Raw genomic sequence first — 24,972 nt, forward strand, 5'->3', positions numbered from 1 at the left:
ACAAAAATAATAAAGATCAGAACAAGAGCAAAAAGAAACAATATTGAGATGAAAACATTACAAAAGATCAACGAAATGAAAATATAGCCAGGTGCGGTGGCTCACACCTGTAATCCCAGCACTTTGGGAGGCCGTGGCAAGTGGATCACTTGAGGTTAGGAGTTCAAGACCAGCCTGGCCAACATGGTGAAACCCCATCTCTACTAAAAGTATAAAAATTAGCCAGTTATGTTGGCGGGCACCTGTAAGCCCATCTACTTGGGAGGCTGAGGCAGGAGAATTGCTTGAACCCAGGAGGCGGAAGTTGCAGTGAGCCGAGATTATGCCACTGCACTCCAGCCTGGGTGACAAAGCCAGACTCTGTCTCAAAAAAAAAAAAATTGTTTTTTTGAAAAGATAATTGACAAACCATTAGCTAGATTAAGCAAGAAAATATGCAAATAAATAATTCAGAAGTAAAAAAGGAGACATTACAACTAATATCATAGAAATACAAAGGATCATTAGTGACTATTATGAACAACTGTACACCAACACATTAGAAAACCTAGCGGAAATGGATAAATTCCTGGATGCATGGAACCCACCAAGATTGAACCAAGGAGAAAAGAAAACCTGAACAGACCAATTACTGTAATGAGATTGAATCTGTAATTTAAAAATCTCCCATCGGCCGGGCATGGTGGCTTACGTTTGTAATCCCAGCGCTTTGTGAGGTCAAGGCAGGCAGATCATGAGGTCAGGAGATCGAGACCATCCTGGCCAACATAGTGAAACCCCGTCTCTACTAAAATACAAAAAAAAAAAATTAGCCAGGCGTGGTGGTGCACGCCTGTGGTCCCAAGTACTCAGGAGGCTGAGGCAGGGGACTTTCTTGAACCTGGGAGGCAGAGGTTGTAGTGACCGGAGATCGCGCCATTGCACTCCAGCCTGGACAACAAGAGCAAAACTCCGTCTCAAAAAAAAAAAAAAAAAAAAAAAAAAAAAAAAAAATCCCATCAAAGAAAAGCCCAGGGTGCTTCACTAGAGAATTCTGCCAAACATTTAAAGAAGAACTAACACCTGTTCTTCTCAAGCTCTTCTAGAAAATTGAAGAGGAGGGAATTCTTCTAAACTCATTCTACAAGACTAGCATTACCCTAATATAAAAACCAGAGAAGGACACAGCAGAAACAGAAACAAAAACAAAAAACACTAGAAAGAAAAAGGAAACTATAGGCCAATATTTCTGATGATCGTAGATGGAAAAATTCTCAAGAAAAATAGTATTTTGTAGTAATTAGTAGTAACTGAATCCAGCAGCACATTTTAATTCACTGTGATCAAATGGGATTTATTCCTGGGATGTAAGGATGGTTCAACATAAGTAAACCAGTAATCAACATAATACATTACATCAACAGAATGAAGGACAAAAACAATATTATCATCTCAATAGACACAGAAAAAAATATTTGATAAAATTCAACATCCCTTCATAGTGAAAACTCAACAAGTTAGGTTGGAAGATACCTCAACACAATAAAGGTTGTATATGACAAACCCACAGCCAACATCATACTGAATGGGGAAAAGATCTACAACAAGAAAGGATACCCACTTTCACAACTTTTATTCAACATAGTACTGGAAGTTCTAGCCAGAGCAGTTATGTAAGAAAAAAAATAAGCCGCATCCAAACTGGAAAGAAGGAAGTCAAATTGTTCCTGTTTGCAGACAACATGTCTTATATATAGAAAACCCTAAAAGCTCCACCAAAAAATCCTTAGAACTCATAAAGTAATTCAGTAAAATCAATGTACAAAAATCAGTAGTGTGTCTGTATACCAACAACAAACTAGCAGAAAAGAAATCAGTCTCATTTACAATAGTTACAAAAGAAATAACTAAGGAAGTGAAAGATCTCTACAAAGAAAACTATAAAACATTGATGAAAGATACTGAAGAGGACACACAAAAAATAGAAAGACATTTGATGCTCATGGATTGGAAGAATTAATATTGTGAAAAGGACCATGCAGATTTAATGCAATCCCTATCAAAATACCAATGACATTCTTCATAGAAATATAAAAAAAATCCTAAAATTAATACAGAACCACAAAAGACCCTGGATAGCTTAAATAATCTTGAGCAACAAGAAGAAAGCTGGAGGCATCACACTACCAAACTTTGAAACAGCATGGTACTGGCATAAAAACAGAAACATAGACCAATGGAATAGAATAGAGAACTCAGAAATAAGTATTTGTATTTACAGCCAACTGATTTTTAACAAAAGCACCAAGAACATTTATTGGAGCAGGACAGTCTCTTCAATAAACGATGGTAGGGAAACTAGATATCCACATGCAGAAAAATGCAGCTCAACCCCTATCTCTCGCTATTTACAAAAGCCAACTCAAAATGGATCAAAGACTTAAATGTAAGACTCAAAACCATGAATCTACTAGAATAAAATACAGGGAAAACACTTCAGGATATTGGTCTGGGCAAAAATTGTATGGAGAAGACCTCAAGAGCACAGGCAACCAAAGCACAAATAGACAAATGGGGTTGCATTTCAGTAAAAAGCTTCTGCACAGCCAATGAAATAATCAACAGAGTGACAACTTGCAGAATCAGAGAAAATATTGCAAACTATTTATCTGACAAGCTATTAATATCCAAAATATACAAGGTGAAACTCAACCCATCAGCAAAAAAAAAAAAAAAAAAAAAAAAAAAAAAAAATCAGATTAATAAATGGGCAAATGAACTGAATAGACATCTCTCAAAAGAAGACATACAAATGGCCAGCTGGTATAAGAAAAAGTGCTCAACATCTCTAATCATCAGGGAAATGCAAATCAAAACCACAGTGAGATACCATCTCACCCCAGTTAGAATGGCTGTTATCAAAAACACACAAAAAAAATAACAAATACTCATGAGAATGGAGAGAAAGGAGAACTCTTATACACTCTTGGTAGGAAGCCTCCTCAAAAAACTGAAAATAGAACTACTGTGTGTGATCTAGCAATTCCACTACTGGGTATATATCCAAACGGAGGGAAATCAATTATGTCAGAGATATCTGGGCTCTCATGTTTATTGCCATACTATTCACAGTAGCCAAGATATGGAATCAACTTAAGTGTCCATCCACACATGAATGGATTTTTAAAATATTTTCCTTATACACAATGGAATACTATTTAGCCATAAAAAGAATGAAATTCTGCCGCTTGTGGCAACATGGATGAGCTTGGAGGTCATTATGTTAAGGTAAATAAGTCAGGCACAGAAAGATAAATATTGCATGTTCTCACTCATATGTGGAAGCTAAAAAAAAATTGCTCTCATAGAAGTGGAGAGTGGAATAGTGGTTACTAGAGGCAGGGAAGGTTAGGAGGATGGGGGATAGCCAAAGGTTGGTGAACGGATACAAAAGTACAGCTAGACAGGTGAAATAAGTTTGAGTCTTCTGTATCACTGTAGGGTGACTATAATTAACAACAGTTTGTTGAATATTTTCAAATATTTCAAATATTTTCAAATAGGAGAGCAAATTTTGAATGCTCCCAACACAGAAATAAGTGTTTGAGGTGATGGATATGCTAATTACTGTGATTTGATCATTACACATTTGTATACATGTATCAAAATATTATACTGTACCCCATAAATATATGCAATTATTACATGTCAATTAAAAAAATAATGAAAGCAAAACAAAAATTTATAAGAAAGAAATGGGCAAAGGGATTGAATTTAAAAAAAGGAACTGAATAAGTAAAAATAAGTAAATAGCTCCTATGGGGGGAACCAGCCCCCAGTATTTCAACATAGGTTCTTTTCTATTTTTCCTAAGTGTCGGCTGGTCTGAGAAATAAAGAGAAAGAGTACAAAAGAGAGAAATTTTACAGCTGGGCCTCCGGGGGTGACATCACCTATTGGTAGGTTCTGTGATGCCCCTTGAACTGCAAAACCAGCAAGTTTTTATTAGGGATTTCAAAAGGGGAGAGGGGTACAAACAGGGAGTAAGACACAAAGAGCACATGCTTCAAAGGGCAATAAAAGATCACAAGGGCAGAGAGGCAGAGCAAGATCACAAGGCCAGGGTGAAATTAGAATTACTGATGAGGTTCCATGTCCCACTAGGCACTCATTGTCTTGATAAACATCTTAACAGGAAACCTGGTTTGAGAGCAGACAACCGGTCTGACTAGAATTTGCCAGGCTGAAGTTTCCTAATCCCAGCAAGCCTGAGGGCACTGCAGGAGACCAGGGCGTATTTCATCCCTGGTCGTCAACCACATAAGGCACACAATCCCAGAGCAGCAGTCTGTAGGCCTACCCCTGGGAATGCATTCCTTTCCCAGGGTTATTCCTTGCTGGGAAAAGAATTCAGCAATATTTCTCCTATTCGCTTTCTGCAAGAAGAGAAATATGGCTCTGTTCTGCCCAGCCCTGCAGGCAGTCGGACCTTATAGTTATCTCCCTTGTTCCCTGAAAATCGCTGTTATCCTGTTCTTTTTTAGGATGACCAGATTTCATATCGTTCAAACACACATGTTTTACTAACAATTTGTACAGATAACGCAATCATCACAGGGTCCTGAGGTGACATACATCCTCAGCTTACGAAGATGACAGGATTAAGAGATTAAAGTAAAGACAGGCATAGGAAATTATAAGAGTATTGATTGGGGAAGTGATAAATGTCCATGAAATCGTCACAATTTATGTTCAGAGATTGCAGTAAAGACAGGCATAAGAAATTATAAAAGTATTAATTTGGGGAACTAACAAATGTCCATGAAATCTTCACAATTTATGTTCTTCTGCCGTGGCTTCAGCCGGTCCCTCCGTTCAGGGTCCCTGACTTCCTGCAACAAGCTCCTGCACAGCCAGTGAAATAATCAACAGAGTGACAAGACAACTTGCAGAATCAGAGAAAATATTGCAAACTATTCATCTGACAAGTGATTAATATCCATTTCTCCAAATACAATGACCAATAAGCACATGAAAAAATATTCAACATCACTAATAATTAGGGAAATGCAAATCAAAACCACAGTGAAATACCACTTCACACCCAGTAGAATTGGTATTACTAAAGAAAAAAAGATAGAAAAAGAAAAGAGAATAGGCCAGGTGCAGTAGCTCACACCTATAATCTCAACACTTTTGGAGGCCGAGGTAGACAGATCACCTAAGTTCAGGAGTTCAAGACCAGCTTGGCCAACATGGCAAAACCCTGTCTCTACTAAAAATACAAAAATTAGCTGGGCCTGGTGGTACATGTCTAATCCCAGCTACTCAGGAGGCTGAGGCATGAGAATCGCTTGAACCCAGGAGATGGAAGTTGCAGTGAGCCGAGATCATGCCTGGGCTACAGAGTGAGACTCTGTCTCAAAAAAAAAAAAAAAAAAAAAAAAAGAAGAAGAAGACAGAAAAGAAAAGAAAATAGACCAGGTGCAGTAGCTCAGGCCTGTAATCCCAGCACTTTGGGAGTCCAAGGCAGGCAGATCAGTTGAGGCCAGGAGTTTGAGACTAGCCTGGCCAACATGGTGAAATTCTGGCTCTACTAAAAATACAAAAATTAGCTGGGTGTGGTCTCATACACTTGTAATCCCAGGTACTCAGGAGGCTAAGGCAGAGAATCACTTGAACCTGGGAGGTGGAGGCTGCAGTGACCTGAGATCACGCCACTGCACTCCAGCCTGGGAGACAGAGCAAGACTCCATCTCAAAAAAAAAACTAATAAATTAATTAAATTAATTAATAAATATTGGCAAAAATGTGGAGAAATTTCAACCCTTGTGCACTGGTGGGTATGACTGTAAAATGGTGGTGTGGAAAATAGTATGATAGTTCCTCAAAATAGTAGTAAAAGTGAATTACAGAATGATCCAGTAATTGTACTCTTGGTATAGACCCAAAAGAAATCAAATCAGGGACTTCAACAGATATATGTCCACACATGCTCATAGCAGTGTTACTCACAATAGCCAAAAGGAGAAAGGAACACCAGTTTCCATCAACAGATGAATGGGTAAACAATGTATGAACATTCAATGGACTATAATTATTCAGCCTTAAAAAGGAAGAGCGTTCTGACACATTCTACAATGTGAATAAACCTTGAAGACGTTATGTTAGGTGAAATAAGCTAGTCACAAAAGGACAGACACTGTATGATTCCACTTATATAAGTTACCTATAGTAGTCAAATTCATCGAGACAGTAAGTAGAATGGTGGTTTCCAGGGGAGGATGGATGAGGAATTATTGTTTCATGGATACAGAGTTTCAGTTTGGGAATACGAAGAAAATTTTGGAGACGGATGGTATTCATGGTTGCACAACAGTGTGAATATACTTAATGCCACTGACCTCTACACTTAAAAATTGTTAAAATGGAAATTTTTTTGTTATGTATCTTTACTACAGTAAAAAAAAAAAAAAAAAGAAGAAGAAGAAGAAAGTGAACACTCAAACTTCTCCCAAATATACAAGAGGAGGAAACACTTCCTAACACATTCTGTGAGGCCAGCATTGCCCTTATATCATGGTCAAATATGCCACAAGAAAAGAAAACTGCAGACTTATATCCCTTATGAATATTGATCCAAAGATCATCAACAAAAATACTAGCAAACTAATTCCAACAACACATTTCCCAATTTCAAAATGTACTAGAAAGCTACAGTTATCAAAACAATGTGGTACTGGCATAAAGATAGATACATAGGCCAATTAAGTAGAATTGAAAGTCCAGCAATAAACTCAAATATCTGTGTTCAATTGACTTTTGACAGTTGTGCTAATGGGGGAAAGAATTGTCTTTCTTTCCATGATAATTCAGTGAGGGAGAGAATAATCTTTTCAACAAATAATATGGAGAAAACTGGATATCCACATGCAAAAGAATGAGGTTGGACCTCTACCTCACTCAATATACAAAATTATCTCAGTCAATCAAAAACCTAATAGAATAGCAAAAATTATGAAACTATTAGAAGAATACATAAAGGATAAATCTTCAGGACCTCAGAATTGGTGATGGATTCTTAGATTTGACACCAAAATCATAAGCAACCAAAGAAAAAATAGATAAATTAGACTACATCAAAATTTAAAATTTTTGTACGTCAAAGGACATTATCAAATATGTGGAAATACAATGTACAGAACAAAATACTTGCAAATCACATATTTAATAAGGGGTTAATATTCAGCATATATAAAGAACTCCTACACCTCAACAACAAAAAACCAAACAGCTCAATTTTTTAAATGGCAGGGGATAAGAGTAGGCATTTCTCTAAAAAAGATATGCAAATGGCAAACAATCACATGAAAAGATATTCAACATCTTTGGTCATCAAGGAAATGCAAATCAAAACTACAATGAGATACCTCTTTACATCCACCATGACAGCTATAACAATAATTTTTCTAAAAATTGAAAATAACAAGTGTCGACAAGGATGTGGAGAAGGAGGAACTGTTGTACATTGCCAGTAGGAATGTAAAATGCACCAGCTGCTATGGAAGAAGTTTGGCAGTTCCTAAAAAAAAATGAAGCATAGAATTACCATATGACCCAGTAATTTCACTCCTAGGTATATACCCAAGAGAAATGAAAAGATGTATCTGCATAGAAACTTGTACATGAATGTTTATGGCAACATGAATCATAATAGTCAAAAGGCAGAAACAACCCAAATGCCTATCAGTGAATGAATGTGGTGTATTACCACTGGAATGTTATTCAGCCATAAAAAGAAGTGAAGTACTAATAGATACTACAATATGGATGAACCTTGAAAACATTAAGCTAAGTGAAAGAAGCCAGACATCAAATCATATTGTGTGATTCCTTTATGTGAAATTCCAGAATAGACAAAGCCATAGAAACAGAAAGGAGATTGGTGGTTGCCAGGGGGTTGGGGGGGCGGGGATTGGGGTGGTGATTACCCAATGTGTATGAGGTATTCTTCGGGAACGACGAAAAAAGTTTTGAAACGAGAGAGATGGTTGCACAATATTGTGAATACACTAAATGCCCCTGAACTGTACATTTTAAAATGGGTAATTGTATGTTGTGGGACTTTAAACTTAATTTTAAAATAAGAACCCAAATTGTTGGCCCGTAGAGTCCAAACTGTTAACTGCACGTCACGGATTTCATGGAAGGCCAGTCTGAGAGGGAAAGACAATGTGATCACAGAGAGGAAGGGAGGGAGGGTCATGGACAGGAAACTCCGGGGCCTGAAATAGGGCAAGACACTAGCATGTGGATTCCAGAACCCCGTGAAGGCAGGAAGTCTTGGAAGTCCCATGGGGAGAGCAGATCGGGCATGTGCTGGTCAAATCAGAGTGACCCCTGCTATCCTGAGAGCTTCACACACACTGGAGAGTGGTGGGGGGCGGCGGGGAGGGCAGGCTGAGGTCTCTCTCCGTCACCTGTTCTCCTTCCTGTCCTGCAGATGTTGAACCTCTTTGTGGCTGTGATCATGGACAATTTTGAGTACCTCACGCGGGACTCTTCCATCCTAGGTCCTCACCACTTGGATGAGTTCATCCGGGTCTGGGCTGAATACGACCCGGCTGCGTGGTAAGTGAGCCGTGGTGCTCTGTGGTCCTTGGGGGTGGTCCATGCCCATAGATCTTGGGATGGGCCTGGTGGCTTCAGACATGTTTCAAGTGAGCACCCCCTCAGGTTTTGGTTTGGGGCCTAGGGATCTGTCCTGTTTCGTGTAGAGCAGCAGTGATGTCCCCTCCGAGCAGCACCTCCCTTTTCCATCTCGTGTGCCTTCGCGCAGTGGCCCGGACTGCATAAAGTGATAAGGGTCTTTTGAGACCTTGAGTTCAGTTCCTTGGGAGGTACCAGGAGTCATGGAAGGTTTTCAAGGGGCTTGTGAGACTCAGGTCTTCTGCTGAAATTTACTGTCTTCTTTCAAGGCCTGTCATGTGAGGGCTCATGGAGGGCTTGTGGGAGGGTGTGTGGAGACAGCACAGCCATAGCGTCCTTGTGAGACTCGATGTAGGGTTTTAGGACATTCTCCCTAAGGGGCTCAGGAGTCTCCCTCTGCTCTTTCTTTTGGGGACAGGGGCCAACATGCACCTCTGTGTCCCCAGCCCAGGCTGCATATAGTGTGGGTGCTTGGTGAACTTTTTTGACAGATGAGCTACCAGGAAGGCTGTAGTGTGTTTAAGACCCTTGTCTATCATCTGTCATCGTGGGAAAGGTTTACTTGTTTCAAAGGCGAGGGGTGGTGCCTTTCCAGACAGAGGAGGAGTCGCATGAAGGGCATGGTTTGGGTCAGAAGGTGAAGCTGTTTGAGATCAGGATCCATGGGGGTCCCGTACAGCATGGCATCTCAGCAGGGCTGAGAGCTCATTCGGGAAGGAAGACAGGTCAGGCAGCATGGCTTCTCCATCTTTCTGTTTGTCCATTCCTTCCATCACTCGTTCCTCATTTACTTGCTCGCTCACTCACTCAAGCAATGTCTACTGTGGGCTGCTCCCTGCAAGGCCACTAGGCCTGCTAGCACCTCACTCACAGCGTGTGCCCGGGAAATGATCGTGGATGAGCAGCTCTCAGTGAGTGCGTAGACATCCACCACTCCCCGTGCCCTAGGGGGATGAGGGAACCGTGGGTGCCACCGAGGCCTGCCTTCTCTCTCTGAGCTCCTCAGCCTGCCCAGGCCCCCTCGCACTCCTCTGCCCCCAGTGCCCTTACTGGGGGAGGGCCGGCAGGACGTGGTCAGACCCCTCATGGTGAGGTCCTACTGCCCACAGAGCTCCTGGGTTCTGCCTGGTTTTGCTTAAACTGCAGCTCAGCAGAGGGAGCCCTCCACAGACACAAAAGGCCTGGGAGCCCGACTAGACTTCCCCACCCTCCTTTCCACTCAGCCTCCCCGGAGCACCCCCACCTTCCTAGTGAGGATCCAGAGGGTGCTGCACGGGCCCTTCCCAGTCTGGACAAGGTCCAGAGCCACTGGCAGCATCGGGGGCCCTGGGATGGGGCCTCTCCTGTCCAGGCTCTTCCAGGCACACAGCATCTCTGTGGGTGTTTTTCATTTGAGTCGGAAATATACAGTTTTTACGCAGTGCAAAACAGACGTAGAGATTGTCTGTGTTTCACAGTGTATATGACAATTTCCGTGGCTTGCGAGAACCCTGTCATGTCCGATGCAGCAATATGTTTGCCCTGTGATACTTACTTCATGCTGGGAGGGACAGGCTCAGGCACATTCACACAGGACCTGTGGTCAAGTAAGCCCAGTCGACCTGGGGGAGACTGACCACATTGAAGACCTAGACCTTGTTAGGCAAAGGGCAGGAGAGACTCCAGCCGAGGCAGGATTTAGGTGAATTCTAGGCAGGTCACCCTGAATGTGTGGTTTAGAGAGTCGCTGCTTTTTCTGGGTGTATTTTTTCTGGAGGAGACTGTGTTGCAGAAAACAGAGATACTTTATAGCATGTAGTTAGTACTGAAGGGCAAAGGCAGATCAACAAAGGCCTGTGAGAGGATGACAACATTCCCCAATCTTTATGAGCTACGCCCGGGCCTTCCACAGTCAGCCGCCGGCAAGAGCAGAGGCAGGAAGAACGGGAAGTGGACTTGGGCCAGATGGCAGCTTGGTTACCATGCACAGTGGTACCATACCAAAGCCAGAGTCTCAGAGCAGGGGTCCTTAGAAGACATAGGCAGTCGGGGATGTGAGAAGTGCTTACTGAAGAGTAAACAACAGAATACAGGCCTCACCCCAGAGATAGCACGCACAAAATAACACACAAAACCTGCGGGCCTTGAGATAGCACAGACGTGACCTGTGAGCAACACATGATTCTGCCCCCACGAGCAGCCTGGGCTCACCCTACGTAGTCCAAGATGGCCAGGACAGGCCGAGGGGCCCAGCAGAGGCAGCTGAGCAGATTGGGCCTGGATCCTGTGTCCTGAGCAGAGCACAGGGCACCTTGAGCCTTTTTGGTAGCCTCTGTGACAAACGCAGTGATGTAGTCATTTCCCAGGGGACCACTCTATGGCTCCTCGTTCTTTGGGAGAAACTTTGAAACAACAACAAAATTTTATGAGATTTCCTGAGTTGTGTGTGCACATGTGTGGTGCACAAACAGGACATGTGTGCATGTACATGGCTGTGTTGTGTGCGTGTTTGCACAGTGTGACCACATGTGCACTCTGTGCATGTGTACATGTGTGTTGTGCACGCATGCACACAGATGTCTACATGTGTGTTTTGTGCACATGTGCATGCACAAGGCGCGCACGTGTGTGCATGTTGACGTTTGTGTGTGCACATATGATTGTATATATGTGTGCCTGTGTGTATATGTGTGCAAGTGAACTGAATGTGCGTGCATGCCTGTGTGGTTGTATGTGGATGTGTGTATGAATGACATGTGCACCTGTGTGTGCATATGCCCATGTGTGCATGTGTGTGCCTGTGGATGTGCACATGCCCGTGTGTGCCTGTGGTGTGCACGTGTCTGTGGTGTGCACGTGCCTGTGTGTGCATGTGCCTTTGTGTGTGTGCCACCGTGGTGCGTATGTGCCTGTGTGTGCCTGTGGGTGTGCACGTGCCTGTGGTGTACTCGTGCCTGTGGTGTGCATGTGCCTGTGGTGTGCATGTGCCTGTGGTGCGCATGTGCCTGTGTGGGTGTGCATGTGTGTGCCTGTGGGTGTGCACATGTCTGTGGTGTACACGTGCCTGTGGTGCGCATGTGCCTGTGTCGGTGGATTCTGAAGGCACGAAACTGTTCACCCTGGTGCTGCTTTTCCCAGCCTTCCTATTGTTGTTGCTTCAACCCTGTGGTGTGAAGCCTGGTGACTTGAGAGGAGAATTGCAGTCACACTTCTTGCAGCAATCTGGCTGCTCATTTCTGTGTCCACCCATCTGTCTAATAACATCTCCTGGGCATCTGCCATGTGCTGGGGCAGGGGCCCAAAGGTGAAACAGGCACATGCTGTCAGAACACTCAGCCAGGCTTGGCAGTGAGACCACATGGTGACTGTAGCTCAAGGCCAGGGCATTTCTGAGGAAGGAGAGGCCATGTCTGGCCTGAAGAATGAGAGGAGGTGCCATTTGAGCTGAACTTAAAGGAATAGGAAGGATTGAGCACTAGAGAAATAGGATGGATTGAGCTGGGGATGGGAGGTGGGGCAGAGGGAAGAGGGAGGCCAGGTGGCTTCTGTCAGGCTGGAGAGGAGAGTGCATTGCAGAGGGGCTGCAAGGAAGGCTGAGACCGTTTGAGAAAGGCATTGAAATTGGTTGAACAAGTCGCTTTGATTTTGCGTTGTAGACAGTGGGCTCAGTCCTTGCATCGAGGAGTGATGGTGTCAGGCCCACACTTTCCACCTGGGCTTGATGGGCAGGGACAGCTGGGGAGGGTGGGGGGTCTCACGTGTGTCCAGCCCCCCGTGGTGGTCCCTTGGCTGCCACAACCTTAGCAAACATCTTTGGTGAGGCCGAGGTGGGGCTTCCTGTTTCTTCCCTTTTACAGAAGGAAATTCAACATGATTTGGAGCTGATTGGACCGAGGGGGCTACACTGTAGGAGAGAGGAGCATTGGTGGTGATCCAAGGATGCCAGCCTACGATGAGAGGAGGTCCTTAGCTGGACCAGGGCTTCCAGGGGAGGACACAGAGTGTTCAGGGAGACAGGGTCAGTCAGGAGGCAAATGGGTATGGGCCTCTGAGGTTGCTGTGATAGAGAAGCAGACCTGCCTTGCTGTGGTGGTGAGAAAGCCAGGCGTCAGAGGGTTTGGCTGACCTGGGAGGCCCAGGGAGCATCGTCACTCAGGGAGTGAGAGGAAGAGCTGACCGAGAGGGAGGGGCAGGGCAGTGTTCTGTGTGGAGCGGCTCCTGCACACATCGGGCTCCGGAAATTTCGCTGGGGTTGCCACACCTCCCGGGGAGCTCCAAGCCCCAGTACCCCGGCGAGGTGCCACCTGTCCAGTGCACCCCTCACCTCCGCCGCCACGCCTGCGCGAGGTCGGTCTTCCCATCACAGGCTGGGCGGGCGGGAGGGTCGGGCTCCATCCTGCCTTTGTTGCCATAACCTGTGACATTTCCTTTCCAGTTGCCGGATTCATTATAAGGATATGTACAGTTTGTTGCGTTGTATTGCGCCACCCGTTGGCTTAGGGAAGAACTGCCCTCGTAGGTTGGCCTACAAGGTTTGCAACTTCAGAGCCTCCATCCAACATACTTCCCTGCCCGAAACGCACACAGCACACACTCCCTGCCTGGTTTGGGAATGACGACGCCTCACCTTTCTTTCCTCCTGTCCTGCCCCGCACTCCAGCCTCCTGGACGCTTTGGTTCCCTGTCTAATCTCCCCTGACCCTTCTAGCTGGCTGGGGACAGGCAGCCTTTTGAGAGTGCACAGAAAGCTTTCTGGTTGGGATCAGCTAGCTGGGTGGGAGATGGGGGCTAGGTCCCTCCTGCATCAAGGAAGCAGCCGACTTGCCCGGTTTTTCCTCCGAGCTCTCGAGAGTGAGCTGATGGTCAGGCCAAAGGCCGAGGGCCCCAGAGGAAGGGAGCACGGGCACAGGCCTCCCAGGAGCAGCCGTCCTCTGGGTTGGAAGAGCCCAGTAACCCAGTGGCTCTCCAGTCCCTGGGGGAGGAAAGGGCAGAGGCAGAGTGGGGGCCAAAGACAAGCCGTCCTGCTTTGCCTCTGGAGTGATGCGCTCAGCTCAGCCAAGGAGCCCCTGGTCTGGAACCGTGGGAGGAGGGCAAGGCCCCAGGGCAGATCCATCTGCCAGGAAGAGGCTGTCCCCTTTCTCTCCTGGGCCACCTGAATCTGGCTGTGTCTCTAGGACCCCAAGCCCACAGGCAGGTGTCCCAGGGTTGGAGGTAGGCCCCAGGCCTCGTGGCCTCTCTACTTGGGAAGACTCTGTCATCGGAGCCTTTAGGTTCCTAGATCCTGCAACCTGCCCCTTTGCTGTCAGAGCTGGTGCAAGGTGGCCCCAGGCCATGTCCTGCCAGCTCCTCCCCCCTCCCGCAGTCTCCCATTTCCCACCCAGCCCTGAGCCCCAGCAGCAGCCCTGCCCTGGGCTGGCCTCGGGCGTCTCTGGGCTTGAAGCAGGACTTGCCCCAAGGTTAGGTTTTGGCTGTACAGCTTCAGGGCTCCCTGTTTAGTTTTCTGGTTTGTTTCAGATCTTCTCCACCTTTTTAGCCTCTAGCCTCACTTGGAAGCAAATCTGACCGTGAGGAAAGCTGATGTCTCTGCCGTGGTTCTCAGCCACTGCCTCATCTGCCACCTGACCCCGCCTGCCAGCTCTTCTGGCAGGGTGGACCAGCTCTTTTCTGATTGGCATTCACTGTGATTTTTAAAAGAGTAAAATCAGAAATTATCAACCCAAAGCCGCCCCGATGCAGCCCTTCCTCACCCCTCCATGTTCATTAGCTCAGACGCCACCCCCGCCCACTGCCCCGCGTGGGGCTGGAGTGAGGAGGTGAGGCTCGGGGGTGGGGGGCCAGGAGGGGGTCAAGCCAAGCAGAGAAATCCCTCATTTTATTTATTTTGATTTTGGGCTTTGAATCCGACACTTTGATTAACTGGCTCTGTTTTCTTGTCTGCTTCCTCCCTGCCCCTACCCCGCTCCCCTCCCCGCTCCCCTCCTGCTGCCGCTCCTCCTGTGGACCACCCCACTGTGCCCTGGCCTCGCTGGGACGGGTTTCCAGTGGGCGCATCAGTTACAATGACATGTTTGAGATGCTGAAACACATGTCCCCGCCTCTGGGGCTGGGGAAGAAATGCCCTGCTCGAGTTGCTTACAAGGTAGACCCTGACCCTGCAACCCGCCCCCCAGGAGGCTGTGTGTGCTTGCTGAGGGGTGCTTGCTGGCTCTCCCAGCTCCTCTCCCTTTCAGGGTGCCCGGCTGTCTGTCTGCCGCTCTGCTGTGCGCCCCCGGCTGCCTCACTGTGTCTTTCTCTTCAGCCCCATCCCAGCTTCCTTCCCAGACAGAGGGATGTGGCCACCATGATGTCTCACTGGCCTCTTGTCCCCACAACCTGAGCTGCCCCCTTTGAGAGCCCCCTGGAGGCTCAGGAAGACAGAACTAGACCCTCCTCCCTGCCTTTTCTCCCTCCCTTCCTTTCCTAGGAATGAGGGGACAGACCACTTGTTTGACAGAGATTGTTTTTGTTCTGGGCTCAGAACAAAGCCCTAAGCCCCTGGTATGGATGGAGCTGTCCAGCCCTCTGGGTCTGGCCCTGGGGGCAGGTGGGGCCTGCAGGGCCTCTGGTGCTTCTGTACAACCCCCTCCCCAGCTCAGCAAGTGCAGAGGCTCTCTGGGCCCAGGCTGCAGTCTCCAGGGACTTTCTAGGCTCCATGGTGGGGAAGAGGCACTGTGGCACTGAGAAGGAAAGGGGTGCTGGGGAGAGGCATCTTGCTATTATTCCTGGGGCCTCAGAGGGCTGCTGGAGGATGGGGATGGCCTCGGGGCCCAGGAGTCATGGGATGCTGAGTTGCCAAGAAGGGGGTAAATCGAGGGATGCCTCCAGGCCTCCCTCCTGGGTGGGCAAGCAGATCACATGGCCCAGCCCTAAAACTGTTCCATCTGCCCAGCTGTCCCCAGTCCCACCTCATACCCTCCATGTGTAAGCACCTTCGTTCCCCCAGCACCCACCCACCTACTCAAGAGCCCTCCTGAGGCCCCCACTGCTCTCCGGCAAACGGCCTGTGGTTCAGCCAACACGTGCCTAGAGCTTTTCTGATCCTCCCTGAGGAAGACTTTCCTGAGTCTGTCTGAGGAAGCTTCCTGCCAGAGCTTTCCTCTCTGGTGCTGTGGACAGCTGTTGTCCACACTGGCTCTGTGCCCTGACTCTAGGTCTTTGTCACCCGACTCAGTGCAGCCTGTGGGAGCCAAGTGGCTCCTCCAAGCCATCCTCAGCCCCTGCCCTGCCCCTGCATTGTGCCTGCCTGGGGGTTCTGCATGCAAGGCTGTAGCTTTGTCCCCAAGAAGGAGAGCTCTGTCCACACTTGGCGCCGGGGCAAGCAGGCAGGGCCATGATGGAGCAGCCTTTGGAGCCCCACCCAGCTGTGCTGGCTGACTCCAAGGTTCTGGGCATGGAGAGACCAAGGGAGGCCTCAGGGTGGGGGCAGAAGGGCCAGATGAGCTGAGGAGGGTCCAGGAGATGCCCAGAGCACTGCACCTTGGAGGGCCCAGGGCAGAGACACCTGTTTGTTTGCCCTGGCCTTGCCTCTTGGCTTCTTCCTGAGATTCTTGGCCCTTTGGGGCCTGGAGTGGGCTGATGGCACCCCTGGGGAGGGCAGCCCTCCAGTGCCCTGGGCGGAGCTCTTCCTTCTTGTAAATCACCTGCCTGCTCTGCCCTCACTGCTATCCCCAACGCCCCCCAACGCCTGCCCTGTGGGAGAGGAATTCCTTGGCCTCTCACACCGCCATTCATGCTGGTCTGCAGGGATGCCATTCTCCGGGAAGCCGTTTACTCCTGTTGTGCTGCACACACATGCTGTGCAAAGCCCTGGGACTAGGACTGGACGTGGCAAGTGGGGCTTTGCCAGCATTCGGGGCCAGAGTCAGGCTCATGTCTCCAGCCCGGCTTGCATCCACACCCCACTAGCTATTAGGCTGAGGACTCTGGATTTGGGGCCATGATGCTAGGGGCAGGGCTGTATGGCCCTCCCTAGAGAAGAGGCTGCCCTGCCACAGGTTGCAGGCTTGGGCAAGGACAGGCAGACCCTGGGGAGGAGCTCCTGTCTCTAGCTGGACAGTGCTCCTGGGGCTCCACTTGGCCAGCTCCTTGCTCCCCACGCTCAAAATATTCCAGGCACACTTGAGATGCATTTCCTCCTTGGGGCCTCTTCAGTTCTTAGAGCCTGGGTCTCTGGGCAGCACTGGCTGGGGCCAGAGGACTGTGGTGCAGACACGAGCTCGTCTCCAGCTGTTCTGTCCCTGAAAACTGGCAACAGGCTGTCCACCTGAGAGGGAGACGGAGCAGAGCTGCAGGACACTGCCCCAGCCCACTCTGAAGTGTAGCAGCCTCAGCCTGCAGCCCTGGGAAGTCCCATCTGTTCCTGTCCTTCCAGCAGCAGGAGCTGCCTTGCGCAGAGATGGGCTCTGCCTTTTAGTGACATCGAGCATCTCTCCCAGGCCTCATGCTGGGTGGTGAGAGGCAGAAGCCTCACTGGACCTGAGCTAAAACCAGGATGTCACCTGTAGGGGCCCCCACTGGGAGCTGGGCCCCAGAGAGGCACCCTGGACCACCTACTCCTTGTCCAGATGATCGAAGTGGTGGGAGGAGAAGATGGGGGTGGGCAGAGCAATGAGCACAGGGACCTCTTCTGTCTGTGGCTGCTGCTCCTCCTCCCCAGCCAAGGCTACACTCCTACATTCAGCCACAGGCAGGGGTCCCTCAGGGTGAGGAGGTGGCTGTGCTTTCAGAGGGATCAAGGCTCCAGTCTTTACCTGGAGTTCTACTTTTCTGCAGCCAGGAGGGTCCTCAGCTAGATTTGTGGGGCGGGGAGTCCAGGGGAGAGTGTGAATGCTGGCAAAACTCCCACCCGCCCCACCTCACTCAGGCCTAGGCACCTGCAGGCACCACCACTGGGATGCCCAGCCCAGCATCCAGGGACCCCATCATTGCGTAGTCTTGGGGTGGGGGGTGACCCCAGCAGGCCTGGCCCTGACCGGCCCTGCTTGTCCCTAGCGCCTGGTTCGCATGAACATGCCCATCTCCAACGAGGACATGACTGTTCACTTCACGTCCACGCTGATGGCCCTCATCCGGACGGCACTGGAGATCAAGCTGGCCCCAGGTGAGCAAGGCAGCCTCGGAAGGAGGGCCCTGGACCCAGGGATGTGCACCTCCGCCCTCAGTGTCAGCCCCAGGAGGACACGCAGGGAGGAGGGTGAGGGGCCAGCTGTGTCTGGAGGGGTCTGAGGACAGCTGCACAGGATACCCACCCTGGGGCACTGGCTTTTTCGCCTGGTAACCGTCTGCACATTAGCACTGCAATGATCCCATTTTCAGGTAAGGAAACTGAGGCATGGTGAGATTTCATAAATTGCCCAGGTAATTCAGAGCCAGCTGGTGGTGGAACCAGGACACAGCCTGGTCAAGCCTCACCACAGCCAGCGCCCTCCCTGGGGACGAGCCTGCATGCCCTTGGCCCCCTCCCATAGTGAGCCCATCCGGTCTTTCCCTGATCTGATGGACAGTACCACAGAGCGATGCCAAAGCAAGGAGAGAAGGAGCCTGTAGTGTGTTCTTCCCCACGTCCACCTTCCCCACCACAGAGGAGATTACAGCCCCAGAGGGCCCTGCCCCAGCCCCACCCCCCTGCGTCTGCCCCATCTCCTGCTTTGTGTGCCAAGCCTCACTTACGTCTCCCCAAGGGTGCCGTAGTGGCAATGCCATACTGTTTCTTGCCCTGTCTACTGGGTTATTTGTGTCAGCATATAAACACCCGATTATTTCCTCCATCTTCAAAAAGTTCGCTGGGCGCGGTGGCTCATGCCTGTAATCCCAGCACTTTGGGAGGCCGAGGTGGGCGGATCACGAGGTCAGGAGATGGACACCATCCTGGCCAACATGGTGAAACCCCATCTCTACTAAAAATACAAAAATTAGGTGGGCGTGGTGGTGGCACGTGCCTGTATTCCTAGCTATTCAGGAGGCTGAGGCAGGCTTGAACCTGGGAGGCGGAGGTTGCAGTGAGCTGAGATTGTACCACGGCACTCCAGCCTGGTGACAGAGCAAGACTCCGTCTCGAAAACAACCAAAAAAGTTATCTTCCCCTCTGTCGACTTCCCTATTCTCTCCTTTCTAATGCCCTGCTCTTGAGAGGTTGTCTCTGATTTCCCTTTCCCACATGCTGGGGGCTCTTCCCAGCTTCACCAGAGCTGCCCTTGGGGTCTCCAGGCCTCCACGTTGCTCGACTCAAAGGCTGAGGCACATCCCCAGCTCATGGGCTGTCCATGGCCGTTTCTCCATTTGCATTTTCTTCTCTTTGAACCTTTTTTATCTGTTTCTCCGATCCCACAAACTTTGGGTGTGCCTTTGTGCCATGGAATGTTCTCTCTACACTCACTCCTTTATCATCTCACCTATTCCCATGGCTTTAAATAACATTAATCTCCTGACTTCTCTCCTGAACTTCAAATTTTCCCCCACAGCCTTCCCTATCTCAGTCAATGCTTAAGCCGAAACCTTAGAAATCATCTTATTTTATTTATTTATTTATTTATTTATTTATTTATTTATTTATTTATTTATATAGGGTCTCACTGTGTCACCCAGGCTGGAGTGCAGTGGTGCAGTCACGGCTCACTGCAGCCTCCACCTCCCAGGCTCAAGTGATCCTCCTGCCTCGGCCTCCCAAAGTGCTGGGATTGCAGGCACCACTCCTCCATACTAGTTTTTGTATATTTTTTAGAGATGGGGGTTCGCTGTGTTGCACAGGCTGAGGATCATCCTTTTCTCCTCCTTCCTTATCCCATTTCTGATTCATGCCTTCTCTTTCATATTTTCTTGACTCTGTCTTTAAAATATATCCAAAATGTGGCCACTCCTCTCCCTTACCCCATTGCCGCCTCCTCTGGCTCTCAGCTGTTGCTGCAGCAGCTTCTAATTCATCCACTTCTGCCCTTGGCCCCTTCTGTCTGCCTTCAACACAACAGCCAGAGTGATCAGGTTAAAAAAAAGACTAATGGCCGGGCGCAGTGGCTCACGTCTGTAGTCCTAGCACTTTGGGAGGCCAAGGCAGGCAGATTGCCTGAGCTCAGAAGTTCAAGTCCAGCCTGGACAACACAGTGAAACCCCGTCTCTACTAAAATACAAAAAATTAGCCGGGCATGGTGGCGGGCGCCTGTAGTCCCAGCTACTCGGGAGGCTGAGGCAGGAGAATGGCGTGAACCCAGGAGGCAGAGCTTGCAGTGAGCCGAGATTGCGCCACTGCACTCCAGTCTGGGTGACAGAGTGAGACTCTGTCTCAAAAAAAAAAGAATAGATAACCTTCAGTTTCAACACCAGAGGACAAAAAAAAAAAAAAAAGAGATAACCAGGCCAGGTGCCCTGGCTTATGCCTGTAATCCCAGCAGTTTTTGAGGTTGAGGGAGGAGGATCACTTGAGCTCAGGAGTTTGAGACCAGTCCGGGCAACACAGGGAGCCCCTGGCTCTACAAAATATTAAAAAATTAGCTGAATGTGGTGGTGAACGCCTGTGCTCCCAGCTGCTTGGGGAGGCTGAGGTAGGAGGAATGAGCTGTGATGGTGCCACTGCACTATAGCCTGGGCAACAGAGTGAAACCCCATCTCAAAAAAAAAAAAAAAAAAAAAAGCAAAAGCTTCATAATACCATATATATTAAATAAATTAAGTTTAGAGTGGAAAAACCTTCCAAGAAAGACAATCCCAGGTCCAAATGGCTTCTTTATTGAAGTCTACCAACTGTTTAGGGAAGAAATAATGCCAATTCTGTATAGACTCTTCCAAAAAGTGGAAAAAGGGAATATTTTCCAACTTATTTTATTTTCAGAGGCCAGCTTTGCTCTGATACCAAAACTAGACAAAGACATGACCAGAAAAGAAAACTACAGACGAATATCCCTTATAAACATAGATTTTTTTAAATCTTCAACATAATCTTTAAGCAAACTGAATTTTTTTTTTTTTTGAGATGGAGTCTCACTCTGTTGCCCAGGCTGGAGTGCAGTGGCACGATCTTGGCTCACTACAAGCTCTGCCTCCTGGGTTCACGCCATTCTCCTGCCTCAGCCTCCCGAGTAGCTGGGACTACAGGTGCACGCCACCACGCCTGGCTAACTTTTTTGTATTTTTAGTAGAGACAGGGTTTCACCGTGTTAGCCAGGATGGTCTCCATCTCCTGACCTCGTGATCCGCCCGTCTCAGCCTCCTCCCAAAGTGCTGGGATTACAGGCGTGAGCCACTGCACCCGGCCAAACTGAATATATTTTAAAAGATAATATATGATGACACAAGTGGGGTTTACCCCAGGATAAGTTAGGTTCAGTGTTTGAAAATCCAGTTTACTGTATCAAAGAAGGAAAAGTATATGATTATCTCAATAGGTATAGAAAAAGCATTTGACAAAATTCAACATCCATTCATGATTTTTAAAATTTTACATAAAGTAGGAATTAAGGAAAGCTTCATCAATCATGTATCATAGACTCACTTATACGGTCAATTGATTTTTAACAAACTTGGAAAGGCAATTAATGGAGAAAAGATCATCTTTTCTACAAATGATGCTGGAGAAATTTAGACAATCCTATACAAAAAGAGACATTCTTGACATGCCGTTTTAGCTTGCTCGGGCTGCCCCAAGAAAATATCACAGCTTAGACAAAAGAAATGTATTTCTCACAGTTCTGGAAGCCAGAAGTCCAAGAGTTTGTGTTTGTGAGGTGGGTGTCACTCTTAGGCCTCTTCTCTTGGCTGGTAAACAGCCATGGTCCTGCTGTGTCCTCAAACAGACTTGCCTCTGTGTGTGCAGGGAGAGAAAAAGAGCAAGTGGATTTCCAGGTGTCTCCTATGAGACCACTGATTCTGTGGATCAGGGCCCCACAGGAACTCCTTGAACTGATCACCTCCTTACAGGCCCCGTCACCAAATACAGTCACATCTGGGGCTTAGGGCTTCTACATGTGGACTGGAGTTGGGGACAGCTTGATCCATAGCACATACCTTTTACCCTGTACAAAAAATAACTTGAAATGGATTGTAGACAGAAACGTAAAATCTAAAATTATGAAACCTGTATAGAAAACACAAGGCCAGGCGTTGGTGGCTCACGCCTGTAATTCCAACACTTTGGGAGGCCAAAGCAGGCGGATTACCTGAGGTCATGAGTTTGAGACCAACTTGGCCAACATGGTGAAACCCGTCCCTACTAAAAAAAGCTGGGCCTGCTGGTGTGCACCTGTAGTCCCTGGGAGGCTGAGGCAGGAAAATTGCTTGAACCTGGGAGTCGGAGGTTGCAGTGAGCCAAGATAGTGCCACTGTACTCCAGCCTTGGTGACAGACCGAGATTCCATCTCAAATGGAAAAAATCGATAAATTGAACTACAGCAAAACTTTTGCTATATGATATATATATATATACATATATATATATATTTGAGACAGTCTTGCTCTGTTGCCCAGGCTGCAGTGCAGTGGTGCAATCTCAGCTCACTGCAGTCTCTGCCTCCTGGGTTCAAACGATTCCTCTGCCTCAGCCTCCCAAGTAGCTGGGATTACAGGCACATTTCAACACACACAACTAATTTTTGTATTTTTAGTAGAGACGGGGTTTCACCATGTTGGCCAGGCTGGTCTTGAACTCCTGACCTCAAATGATCCACTTGCCTTGGCCTCCCATAGTGCTGGAATTACGGGAGTGAGCCACTGTGCCCCACCACAAAAGATATTTTTAAAAATGAGGCCAAGTGCAGTGGCTTGTACCTGCAATCCCAGCTTTGATTAACTTTGAGAGAAGAGGTGGGAAGATTGCTGGAATCCAGGAGTTCAAGACCAGCCTGGACAACAAAGTGAGGCTCTGTCTCTACAAAAAATAATTTTAAAAAATCAGCTGGGCATGGTGGCGCATGCCTGTGGTCCCAGCTACTCAGGAGGCTACGGCGGAAGGATTGCTTGAGCCCAGGTGTTCGAGGTTCCAGTGAGCTGTGATCATACTACTGCACTCCAGCCTGGGCAACAGATTGAGACCCTGTCTCAAAACAAAACAAAAAACCAGAATGAAAAGACAAGCCTAAAATTGGAGAACATATTTGCTAAACACGTATCTGCTATAGGATTAGTATTCCTAATATATGAAGAACTGTCACAACTCCCTAAGAAAATAACCCAACCAAAACAGACAAAAGATTTGAACAGAAGTGTCATCAAAGAAGATATATGGAAGGCAAACAAACACATGCAAAAATGCTTGATGTCATTAATCATTAGACAAATCCAGAATTTAAAAAAAAAAAAACCACAACGAGATTACACTCCAGTCTACTGGAGTTGCCAAAATGCTTTTCAGAATGACAATACTTAGTGCTGAGAGGGCAGAGCAACTGGAATTCTACATGTTCCCAGTCGGAAAAGAAAATGGTGCAGCCCCTTAGACAGTTTGCCGTTACTTCTATGGTCCAGCCATTGCACTTAGGAAATGAAAACATACATCCACACAATCTATGTGCAGATGTTTACAGCTTTATTCAAAATTGCCCCAAACTGTAAACAACTCATATGTCCATCAATTGGCAATGGATAAACAAATGGTGCATTCATACAATTAAAGAATACTCAGGAGTAAAAGGAAACACGCTACAGTTGCGTGTGGCAATGTGTATGACTCTCACATGCACCACACTGTGTGAAAGAAGCCAGATTCAAAGGCCAGTGTGCTGTATGATGCCATTGGCGTGACATTCTGGAGCAAAACTATAGGGACCCAAAACACATCAGTGGTGGCAGAGGCTGCCAGTAGGACGAGGGGTCGACTCAAGGGAGCACAGAGGAATTTGGGAGTGATCAGCTGTTGCACACCTTGACGGTGCTGCTAGGCACATGGGCGTATGAATTCACCAAAGTTCATAGAGAATGAAAAAGGGTGACTCTCACTGCATGTGAATTGTACCTTAATAAACCTGATGTTCAAGAAAGGTGAATCCAATTATTTTATTCCTCTGCTCAAAACCCTCCACTGCCTTCCCTAACCCTCCTGCCCACCCCTCCATCCACCCTGCCCCGAGGCCTCCCTGGCCCTTCGGGTGACACAGCAGGGCCAGTGTACTCGGGGGCTCCTTTTACCTTCAGGGCACACAGGCCTCCTCGGGAGACTGATGGCCGTCCTGTCCACAGCCGCAGCCCTGCTGATATTCCCCTTCCCCGCTCTGCTCTCCTTGCCTTGGCACTTTGCACTCTCCGGTACACTTTTTTTTTTTTTTTACTTATTACTGCTTTATTGGTAGACTAAAGCGTTGTCAACTCCAGAAGGGAAGTTTTTGAGAGTTTTTTGGTAAATATTGTTGAATGAATAGATGAATGCCTGGAGTGCTGCCATCTTCCTCCTAAATCCTCATTGCCCGTCCCATGCACACACGAACGTGCAGTGCACATGCATGCACACACGTCGGACACACACGTGTGCACATGAGGTGGTTGCCCTGCTCACCTGCCTCCTCCTCTGGGCAGACTCGCAGCAGGGAGGGCTGTGAGCAGCTTCTGCATCAGCGTTTGTTCCCACTGCACCCTCCTTCCAGCACCGTCTGTACCCCATCTCCGCCTACACCATTCATCTCCCCACCTGCACCAGCTCTGCCCCATTGGCGGCTGCAGGGCTGCTCCTAACATCTCTGTCTTTTCCCCTTCCCCACCATCATCCTGGTGCAGCTGGGACAAAGCAGCATCAGTGTGACGCGGAGTTGAGGAAGGAGATTTCCGTTGTGTGGGCCAATCTGCCCCAGAAGACTTTGGACTTGCTGGTACCACCCCATAAGCGTAAGTGTGAGGGTGAGAAATGCCCCCAGCCCCCACCTTTACTGTCCCACCCAGAGTGGCTGGAGGGCTGTGGAGGTGAGGGTGAGGGATGAAGGGCAGGCCACCTTGGAGAGGTGGGCTCACCTCCTCATGAATCTGCCCTCAGCTCCAACCAAGAGAGCCCTGGGTGGCAGAGGAGCTGCAGAGATGAGCGTGGGTTTGTTGTGTTGAGCTCCTGGTGTGTGGAATTTATTTTTTTTAAATCCAGAGGAAAGGCAAGAGGGGATCCCACAGGGATGTGAGGGAGTGCGGTGAGATGCCCAACTCCATCTTGTGAGAGACGTGAGGGAGCGCGGGGAGGTGCCCAACTCCATCTTGTGAGAGACGTGAGGGAGCGTGGGGAGGTGCCCAACTTCATCTTGCGGGAGACGTGAGGGAGCACAGGGAAGTGCCCAACTCCATCTTGGAGAGGTGAGGGAGCATGGGGAG

General features: G+C 48.2%; 1 protein-coding gene across 2 annotated transcripts in view, besides 3 other annotated features; it reads left to right on the plus strand.

The window, feature by feature from the left end:
- CACNA1B (calcium voltage-gated channel subunit alpha1 B) overlaps positions 1-24,972 on the plus strand; it is a 246,838-nt gene that overhangs the window by 210,220 nt on the left and 11,646 nt on the right. For both annotated transcript variants that reach the window (NM_000718.4, NM_001243812.2), the window contains exons 37-40: positions 8,483-8,610; positions 14,710-14,806; positions 17,698-17,806; positions 24,397-24,504. In NM_000718.4, the coding sequence (NP_000709.1) occupies positions 8,483-8,610; positions 14,710-14,806; positions 17,698-17,806; positions 24,397-24,504 (442 nt within the window). The remainder of the gene's footprint in view (positions 1-8,482; positions 8,611-14,709; positions 14,807-17,697; positions 17,807-24,396; positions 24,505-24,972) is intronic.
- Positions 9,258-9,759: an enhancer, noted in NCBI's record as "H3K27ac hESC enhancer chr9:140991711-140992212 (GRCh37/hg19 assembly coordinates)". NCBI's record gives its function as "activates a minimal SCP1, AML or CMV promoter by ChIP-STARR-seq in primed H9 embryonic stem cells {active_cell/tissue: H9 hESC(primed)}" and the evidence as "EXISTENCE:reporter gene assay evidence [ECO:0000049][PMID:30033119]".
- Positions 13,309-13,809: an enhancer, noted in NCBI's record as "H3K4me1 hESC enhancer chr9:140995762-140996262 (GRCh37/hg19 assembly coordinates)". NCBI's record gives its function as "activates a minimal SCP1, AML or CMV promoter by ChIP-STARR-seq in primed H9 embryonic stem cells {active_cell/tissue: H9 hESC(primed)}" and the evidence as "EXISTENCE:reporter gene assay evidence [ECO:0000049][PMID:30033119]".
- Positions 16,620-17,377: an enhancer, noted in NCBI's record as "H3K4me1 hESC enhancer chr9:140999073-140999830 (GRCh37/hg19 assembly coordinates)". NCBI's record gives its function as "activates a minimal SCP1, AML or CMV promoter by ChIP-STARR-seq in naive H9 embryonic stem cells {active_cell/tissue: H9 hESC(naive)}" and the evidence as "EXISTENCE:reporter gene assay evidence [ECO:0000049][PMID:30033119]".

Source organism: Homo sapiens, chromosome 9, assembly GCF_000001405.40.
Source record: "Homo sapiens chromosome 9, GRCh38.p14 Primary Assembly".
Classification (NCBI taxonomy): Eukaryota; Metazoa; Chordata; class Mammalia; order Primates; family Hominidae; genus Homo; species Homo sapiens.